Source organism: Homo sapiens, chromosome 10 (genome assembly GCF_000001405.40).
Source record: "Homo sapiens chromosome 10, GRCh38.p14 Primary Assembly".
NCBI classification, from domain to species: Eukaryota; Metazoa; Chordata; class Mammalia; order Primates; family Hominidae; genus Homo; species Homo sapiens.
The window spans coordinates 81,819,465-81,830,116 of NC_000010.11; positions in this window are offsets into that span (position 1 = coordinate 81,819,465).

Consider the following 10,652-nt stretch of genomic DNA (forward strand, 5'->3'; position numbering starts at 1 on the left):
GACAGGGCAAGACATCATCTCTAAAAAAGTGAAAGAAAAAGAAAGAAAGGAAAGAAAGAAAGAAGAATGGATTTTACAATCATAAAATATCACAATTTATAGATGAATCTATGGGAAATGCTGAGTTTGAGGTTTTTCAAAATCACAGACACAAATAGTGGACAAAATAAAAATTCAGACTTGTAAAATGATTAATCCGAATTCCTAACACTGGAGTTAGTGGCCTCTGCCCTTCACAGAAAGCTAGCTAGTCAAGCATCTGGTCATGTATAGGACAAACACCAGCTTTTCTCAAAATTCTCTGAGATGAACTAAGTCCAGCTTCCAAAATATGAGCCTTTAAACATTTGTTATTTTCTAGGTATAGCCGGTCAAATTCCTCTAAAAGATCACTGCTATTTTGGAATTCTGTTGGAAACCTGATTTCAGGTACTTTGACATGATTCTGGGTTGTGTTGCTAAAATGTTTCAGGGTAATTATAGACATAATGCTATGTTATTTGTCAGGCAGAAAGAGAAATTCATCATACCTCATCATTTTTAGACTATTTGTGGATCAACCAGTGACTTCAAGGAGGGAGCATGAATTATCTGCAACTTTCGTTGAATTATTCAGTACCTACCATGCATGATTCTAATTGTTTCAAAGGTATCTCCCTTAAAAATAAATGGCTTTTCAGCGAAATTTTTGCCTACGTCTTTGTTCGATATGCAACAGCTTTATATCACCACTGAATTATAGAAGAGAAATTTACATTTATTGACAATATATGTGTATATACAGACACATCCACATGAAATATATATGTATATGTATATATTTATGTACACACATATGTAATCTATATATACACATAAATGTATGCATATCTACATATGCATATATGTATAAATACATACAGATACACAAAGCACAAACATACATACATACATATATATACACACACACATAAATATATTCATAGCTCTTCTTTTGAAAGTGATGAACATATTTTTCCACACAGGAAAATATTTTATGGTGAGCAAAATTGTGAATGTAATAGTGATAACAAGGTAACATTATATAAGTGGAAGATACACTAGAAATCAGAGGAGCTATTGAAGGAAGGCTGTGGAGGGCACCCGTGTAATGAGATGGAGAGGAGAAAGCCTTGAGTTCCCTCTAGAGGTTGGTGTATGCAGATGTTTCTCCTCTACACCTTTTTCTCTCATCCTTGTCCTAGGGCAGTTAGAGGAAGGCTGTTCCCCTAGAGAGAAAAATGTAGTATCAGGAAGAGAAGAAAACCTTTCCCTGTTTTATTTTAATTCCATTTTATTTTAATCCTTCTAAGTGTTTCTTAATGGCCATATTGAAAAATGACATAGGTAATAAGATTCCTAAAGATTGATTAATAGTTCCTTAGAACACTCAAAATATCAAGACATTGCTGGAATTAAATTTAGCCACATCTATATTATATCCTAGGTCAAGCAGTGGCTGAACTCTCATTTTCCCATTTCTTTTCTTTCCTTCTTTCTTTTTTTTTTTTTAGACAGAATCTTTCTCTGTCACCCAGGCTGGAGTGCAGTGGTGTGATCTTGGCTCACTGCAGCCTCTCAGGTTCAAGCAATTCTCCTGTCTCAGCCTCCTGAGTAGATGGGATTACAGGCATACACCCCCACACCGGGCTAATTTTCGTATTTTTAGTAGAGACAGGGTTTCGCCATGTTGGCCAGGCTGTCTCAAACTCCTGAACTCAGGTGATCCTCCCGCCTTAGCCTCCCAAAGTGCTGCGATTACAGGCATGAGCCACTGCTCCTGGCCCCCATTTCTTATAATACTTTACTACATGCCCAGCCAGAATTACAAGTCTAGGGTATAAAATGGGTACCAGATAGCAACATAGAATCCCAGAAATATCAAATGTCACATTATTTGTAATGCTATAAAACATGTTGTGAACTCATTATCAATTCCATTATTTGGTATCACAGAGGGAGTAAATTCTAACACAGTGATTACATCCTTATCTTAATCCTGAAATATTTTAAAAGCTTTTGTTTTTCTGTTTATATAATCCTCCCACTTCCTCCTGGCCACGTAGGAACTAAGCCAGAAGCCTCTTCACCATCAGCTAATGCCTGGTATGCAAGTGAAACTGAGGTTGCTCCTTTAACACCTGTTAACATGGAGTACCCACCCTACCTTTCTTTTTCTTTTTCTTTTTCTTTTTCTTTTTTTTTTGTTTCTTTTCAAATTCCATGAAGATATTTTAAAAATTAGAATACCAAGATATCACTGACATTATTTAGACAATGCACTGAAGATCCCCCAAATAAACTGTGACTACTGAAGCAGTTTACAATCTTCAGTACAAATTCCATCATAAAGTAGGAATATTGAAAGAAGAAAACATTACAGTGCCTGGTGTGAATTCATTGTTGCATACCACAGAGCATGGTATTATCTGAGGAAACAAGGTGGTCAGGGGAATTATAAGAACAATAGCAAGTTTTCTGTGTTTCCATTTGAGTGTATCTCCAGCATCTATTCATTCATCCTAATTGTCTAGAATCCACCTGTGAACTGACAGGAATTTACATAAATAATACATTAAGAACTTCTCCAATTATTTATTGCTACATAAAAACCACACCAAATTTTATGCCTTAAAGCAACAACTTATTATTTTCTCTCAGAATTCTGTGGATTGACGGGGCCTAACTAGCAGCTACCATTTGTGAGACTTCAGTCAGATGACCGCTAATGTTATCTGAACATTGACTGGGATGGATAAAGACATGACTCACTCTGATGCAGATAATCACCATTCTCACTGGGCAATCCCACTTGCCTGGAGGTCAGGTGGGATTGTTGCCCAGAGGACCCTCACATGGCCTCCTCATGAAGGTTGGACTTCTCACCTTATGGTGGCTGGATTGCAAAAATTGGAAGAGGCCCAGAAAGAAGCCTCAAAGCCTTTTATGACCTCACCTTGGAAATACAACATCGCTTTCACTAAATAGAATCATCAACAATCATTAAGATGGCCTAGATTTAAGAAGAGGTGAATTTGATTTCAGCTCTTGATGTGAGAAGCAGCATGCACAAAAAGGTAGAAGAACAAACTGATGGCAGACATCTTTGTACACTAGCTACCACAAAAGGTTAACTGTAGTTCTGATTTCCATACCTTGGAGAAACAATTTTTACTACTAATGCAAACTGACACCTCTTCATAACTAAAACACTAAATACTCAGGCAGAATTTTACAATGATGGTATCTCCTAATCCCCAGGTAATTCCTGAATTCCCTCACTTCCTTTAACACTCAATCTATGTATTTAATATCACCTGATCTCTATTTCCATTGTGCAAATATTCTCATTGACCTCCAACCACCACTTTTAGCTTCTTGCACTTCTAGCAGCCTAATCGTAGGTTAAGTGGACAATGTCCAAGGATACAGCCTACATTCATACGCAAAATTTATCATGGGAAAAGCTGTAAGCAATTTCATGGTCTTGCATTCCTCAAACACACGCTCAAGCTGGCTTTTAAAAAATTTCTTCAACACAGTGGGATTCAACAATTCTTTTAGCTCTGAGCCACAGCTATTGAAAGTTGACTACATGGAGAAATAAATAAGATTTCAGAACCCTGTAAAACAATATATCCTTCTTATTACATGTGCTTCTCCCCTAAACTTTGTTGTTTCTAAGCATTTAATATTCTTCCCTGGACCATGAATAAACCGTGCTACTGAGTGAAAAATCTTTCTTCAACTCCTTTTATTTATGATTCCATTTCTTTTTTTGAGACCGGGTCTCGCTCTATCGCCCAGGCTGGAGTGCAGTGGCGCGATCTCGGCTCAACGCAAACTCTGCCTCCTGGGTTCAGCCATTCTCCTGCCTCAGCCTCCCAAGCAGCTGGGACTACAGGCGCCTGCCACCACACCTGGCTAATTTTTTTTTTTTTTTTTTGTATTTTTAGTAAAGACGGGGTTTCACCGTGTTAGCCAGGATGGTCTGGATCTCCTGACCTCGTGATCTGCCCACCTCAGCCTCCCAAAGTGTTGGGATTACAGGTGTGAGCCACAACGCCCGGCCTATTTATGATTCCATTTCAATAGAAATAACTTCTCAATCCCTAAGTGCAACCTAATGATGAGATGAAAATCACTTGAGACCTTCCTGAACATCATCCCACCCACTGATATCTGCTTCCGTCAAGGGAATGGATTGTACAATTGAGTCAGCTGAGACCCTAGAAAATAATTTTTATTCCCACAGACGTCAGACTAGACCCAATAGATCCAAAGGGACCTTAGCTAAGCAGTGACCCATAGAGAACATTCAAATATGATCCCTTAGTATCCCTGGATAAAACCCAGAAACAGACCTTAATGAATAGATTTCCACACAATCTGGAATTCGCACTCTTGAGGTAGAGCTTTGCCCATGAAAACATGATTCTTAACATTTAAAAACATGAATAAATATGCTCAGGCTTAAAAAATAAATGCTTATTTTCACTACCTCCAGAATCTCAGCAACAGAAACTTTCTGAGAATCAAGCCTGCTCATTGAAAGACACACCTTAAACCAAATTTCTTATTTTTGATAAAATCAACCTTGCCTTTCCTTCTCTGAGCACTAGAAAACACTGTCTAGGTGGTGTTCTCTCTTACTGTGGTAAGCAATAAACTTAGTATGCTCTATCAACACGTCATGCTGATGTTTAGGGAGCTGATATTCCACCAAAAGTAGTGCTCAGATGATTTTTTTGGATTTGACCCCAAAAGCACAGGCAACAAAAGCAAAAATAGCCAAACTGGATTGCATCAAACTAAAAAGTCTCTGTACAGCAAACAACAAAACAAAAAAGCAATTTATAGAATGGGAAAAAAAATTTGCAAACCATACATCTGATAAGGGGTTAATATCTGAAATATAAAAGGCACTCAGACAACTCGATAGTAAGAAAATAACCTGATTAAAAGTTTGTAAGGACCTAAATAGACATTTTTCTTCAAAACAAGACATAAAAATTGTCAACATGTATATGAAAAGGCACACAACATCACCAACCATCAGGGAAATGCAAATTAAAACTGCAGTGAGATATCAGTTCACATTTGTTTGTCATGCTGGACCTCTACTGATTCCAATATGGAGGGCACCTTGTTGGAGAGGCTGCAGAGAAGACCAGAGACAGGGAATGAGACGTTGGGTTTATTGAGGACTTACATACAGAGGCCGTCCAGTGGCAGTGAGCTGGACAGGAGAACGGCTAACGTTTGTAAAAAGCGTGGAGTTTATATATCATTTTTACTTAGCAACCTCCACACAACAACCTCCATTTAACCCAAAACAAAAGGCCCGGATGCCCTGTATGCCCACATCCCAACAAGTGGGCCTGGGGTTCAGATGTCCTGCATAGATAAGGAGTGAATCTTCAGGTTGACCATTCCCAGGTTCCTTAGCTTGGACCTCCAAACACATATTCTTTTTAGACCATAGGGTCATTCTCAGGATATGCTTTTGACAGTGAAGGGATCTGTTCAGGTGTGTTTACATTCTTGGTCTTATAGGGAGGAGAAGAAAAAATCAATTGTCCTTGATGGGTCTGGATCTTAGGCAGAGAAGGACTTTGGGAGGACAATGAGTGGGGGATGTTCAGAGAGAACTTGAGGTTTACTTCAATTCAGCATGTCAACAATCCATATTTTGGCATATCTGTTTCTGAGCCCCAACATTTCTGCATATCATAAATATATACAATTTTTATTTTCCAATTAAAAATAATTAAATTTTAAAAAAAATAGTGCTCAGAATGCTGAAAACAAATCTGTCAAAGTCCTAGCAGAGGGGGAATGATAAAGTTGGCACAGGCATGCAAATATGGCATCAAAAGGTCAAAAGTGTCACTACTATTTTCCCTCTATCTTAGGTCACGTAAAGGATGTGCTCAAATAAGGCCTGTACTTCTCAAAATATTAAGGGCCAATCCTGGCTTTGGGACACTTTCTAGATCCTCTGAATTATCTGACTTAAGGTTAAGAAATATCTAGGAAGTCATCTTTCCAGGTCTTTCTAGGTCATTGCAGATACACACACTTGCAGGTGAAACTGTCATTGCAAAGATTATGGTAGTGAGAAAAATCTAACATAGCTGACTCCATCTTGCTTCTAGCCTTCTAGGCTGGCTGTCTTCATGCATTTCTGGGCATGGGCCAAGATTACTACAGAAGAAATTTAGTTTATAGTTTCACTTGGAAAAGATGATAATGTTACCGGAAAGGGATCTCAATCCAGAGAGGGTTCTTGGATCTCACACAAGAAAGAATTTGAGGTGAATCCATAGAGTAATGTATTAGGAAAGTAAAGGAATAAAGAATGGCTACTCTGTAGGTAGAGCAGCCCCGATGGCTACTGGTTGGCTATTTTTATGGCTCTTTCTTGATTATATGCTGGACAAGGAATGGATTATTCATGAGTTTTCTGAGAAAGGGGTGGGCAATTCTTGGAATTAAGGATTTCTCCCTTTGTTAGACCATATAGAGTAACTTCCTGACATTGCTATGCCATTTGAAACAGTTATGTTGCTGGTGGGTGCATCTTTTAGTGTATTAATGTATTAGAATTAGCATATAATGAGCAATGAGGACAAATGAGATCACTTTCAGGACCATCTTTGTTTTGGTGGGTTTTAGCCAGTTTCTTTACCACAATCTGTTTTATCCGCAAGGTCTTTGTGACCTGTATCTTGTGCTGACCTTCTACATCATCCTGTGACTAAGAATGCCTAACCTCCTCGGAATGCAGCCCAGTAAGTCTCAGCCTTATTTTACCCAGCTCCTTTTCAAGATGGAGTTGCTCTGGTTCAAATGCCTCTGACAATAACAGTCTCTATCTAAAACTAACTCCCTTCTTGCTCAAGGAATGAAAATCTAATGAAAGGCCACAAGATTAGGATTATGGGAGGGGCCTGAACTCTCAGTAGTCACGTGGCCAGAAGCCACAAGATTGGTAACTTCCTCAATTACTCCTGTTATACTGTAGATAACATCACTATTAAAGTACCTAAGATTGGTTTTTTAAAATGTCTTTTAGACTTTTGAATTCTGACAACTGATTGACTCCACTGGAACTCAGGACTCATAACTCATCCAGTCCTGTGGCCCCCACGCAGAGGCAGACTCAGCAAACAAGAACCATTTTCCACAGCCCTATGATTGCATTCCCCAACCGATGAGCAACTCCCATTTCCTAGTGCTCTGCACACCAAACTATCCTTGAAAAGCTCTAACCTCTGGACTTCTGGAAGACTGATTTTAATGATAACTCTATCACCTAAATGACTAGCTTCTTTCTTTACTGCAAAGCCACAGTCTCAGTGAACTGGTTTTTGTCTGTGCAGTTCTTCTTGCGCAGCAGGCAGGAAGAACCCATTGGGCGATTACACACACACATTCATACGCATATATACACACACAAACGTACATGAATACATAGAAAGAGAGAGAGAGACATGGACTGTGCCTATTCTTGCCCCCCACTTACCTTGAGTTAGGACAGCCTTTGGAACAACTCTAAAAACAGAACCGACGTCTTAACACATTAAAAAACTGATACTGTATTGAAGATTCATTCCATGGGGAAATGGGGAAGAAAAGGTATAACACACAGCAGAAACTTAATAAAGTCCCTTATTAGACATATTCATTCTTTCTCCTTCCAAGTTCCTTAAATTAGCAAACCACTCCTCTCTCCTTTCTTTTGCTTCCCACTTAATACAAATCCCTTCTATAGTTCAGAGCAACCCATCCCTTTCTATCTCTTAACAAAACAAAAGTCTGCAATTAGCTAAAATTTTCCTGCTTAGAACGCAATTTGGGGAATAATCATCTGCTACTCCAGCCAAAGCAAGTGGAGGGATGGTGGGGTGGAGGGGGTGTCACCTTTTCTCATAAAAGAATTTACCCCAAAATTTTACATATGCAGTTCATTTGTACAATATTCAAGTTACATCAGACCTCCGTAATTGAACTTTGGCTAAATCCAAATCATGTATGCTGAAAACGGAAGTAATATTCTACCAGAGGAAGAAGTTTTTAATCAAGATGAAGTAACAGGAGTCTATAGACAAATATTCAATGACCTGGAAAATTAAAATGAGGATTAATTTCAACCAACAACTTGCTCTGTGTGTGTGTGTGTGTGTGTGTGTGTGTGTGTGTATGCATGTGCATGTGTGTGTGTGTGTGTGTAGGAGAAAGAAAGAAAGGGACAGAGACAGAAAGGGAAAGAGATTTATTTTAAATAGTGAAAAGCTAACTATCTTTGTTTTTCAGGTAATTATGTGTTTATTTGCTCTGCTGCAACAGAAAGTGGCTGAAACTGATTTACATTTAGGACATAAAATTGAACACTGAATAAAGATAATAATAGATAAGTTACATACATAAATGCATAGTGACACCCACATTAACATTTAAAAGATGTGATATTTTTGTTATGTCCCTAAATCCCTGCGTTATTTAAATGAGGAAAATCACTGATGCTTAGAGTAATTCAGGAGGAAAAGAAAGCATTTTGGTGAAGGGGATAGATGACTGGACTTAGAAGAGAAATAGTGTATGAGTTCTTTCACTGACTGATTGTGTAAGATTGGCCTGATCTCTTCCCAATTTAAACACTGGGCTTTCTTTTTCCAGGAAAATGAAGCAGTTGAATTAAGATAAGCCTCAACCCTGTTTTGCCTATGGACACCCTGGATTTATAATTGTGCTAAAAAGTGTGGCCATAGCCAGAAATATGTAATCACAGTGTTTGAGATGTACTGATTTAGGAGAGGCTTAACAACAATTTGGTGCTGTGGTAGGTTGGTATTCTGTTATTGTTGCTGCTGTTGCTGCTGTCGTTCTGGGAAAGCAAATATTCTTGCTGATCGTCACTGTTCTGAGGTATGTGCATCAAATAATAGGCAGTTTTCAAGCCTCTTTGACAGGTGCAATTACATGCAACCAGACTCCCACACGAATAAGCCTGATGAAGTCAGACATCTGTTTTCCTACACATACAGCTCTCAACCCACTAGTACCTCACGATATTCTTTCTTCTAATGGAGTATGAGAAGTGGTAAGTTCTCAGGAATTTGAATACTTGAATTAATCCACAAACAGCCCAGCCATCTACCATGGCCATAGATGGACACACAGACATGAGATGACCCAAAGGAGAAACATATAGTGAGGACAGTGCCAGACCAATGGAACAGCAGGAAGGAACTGCTGGCTTTTAGCTTCAGAATTTACCCTAATAGTGTAGGTTAACTTCCTGTGCACATCAAAGTCTCGTTTTATCTAGAGTGAGAAGGCTTAAAGCTTTAGATTAAGGCCAAGCAATTTCCACAGTCCTCTTCCAGCAGCAATGAAGAGGAAGAAGAGAATCCAAAAACACAAATTCCAAGAGATGCTGATCACAACAAGTGGATGAATTAAATAACTGTGAGAAAAAATAAAACCTGCAGACAGAGCATGAACTGCCTGCTCTTCACACTGAAGGTTGTATCCCTCAGAACTGAAACTCAGTGGCTGCCCTTGTCATGGGCTTATGGCCATTCTCTTGGAAGAGATGGATAACATGGAAGGATGTCTGGGTGACATTGCTATTTCATAATCCAGGACAATGAGGAACACCAGAGGCCTTGCTAACACAGGAGGCCTTGTTAACACAAGGGCTGGGCTATGCTTTTGCTAAACATTAATTCCTCCATTTCATAATGATTTTTACTATTTTGAACTGAATTGAATATAAAGATTGCTTTTTCACTGTAACTGAGTTATACCCTGTTGATATATATCTATTGATAAATTACATGCAATCACATCCTCCCCAATGCCTAATTAATAAATTCATCCTTTGATAGGTTTGGTTTTATAAGTTGAAGGTCACAAAATGGAAATTTACTTCTTCTCTTTCTTTCTCTCCTAATCAAAATATTGGCTGTAACAGTATTTACTATCATATAACAAATTACATTGACTATGTGCTATATCACCTGATTACTTATTTATTTATTTATTTTATTTTTTTGAGACGGAGTCTCGCTCTGTCACCCAGGCTGGAATGCAGTGGCGCAATCTGAACTCACTGCAACCTCTGCCTCCTGGGTTCAAATGATTTCCGACTAATTTTTGTATTTTTAGTAGAGATGGGGTTTCATCATGTTGGCCACACTGGTCTCGAGCTCCTGACCTCAAGTGATCTGCCTGCCTTGGCCTCCCAAAGCACTAGGATTACAGGCGTAAGCCACCGTGCCTGGCTTCAACTAATAATTTCTATTTAAAGACTGTATAAGAGATAATTCTTTATAAATGGAAGATTAACAAGAGATTTCTATGTAAATCTTCCATAGTACATGCCCCTTAGAGCATGATTTTAATATATTTATTTATTCAATACATTTATGCACTTTCAGGTACTATGGTAGGTGTAAGGTAGGCAATACTGAACAGAGCTGATATATACCCCCGTCATTATGACATACACAGATCAACACAGAAATGAATATATAATTTTCATTTTGGCTACATGTGTAATTTTCCTGTGATACTCAATATTACTGGACACTTATTTCAGTGCCTTCTAGTTGTCAGGCATTAAG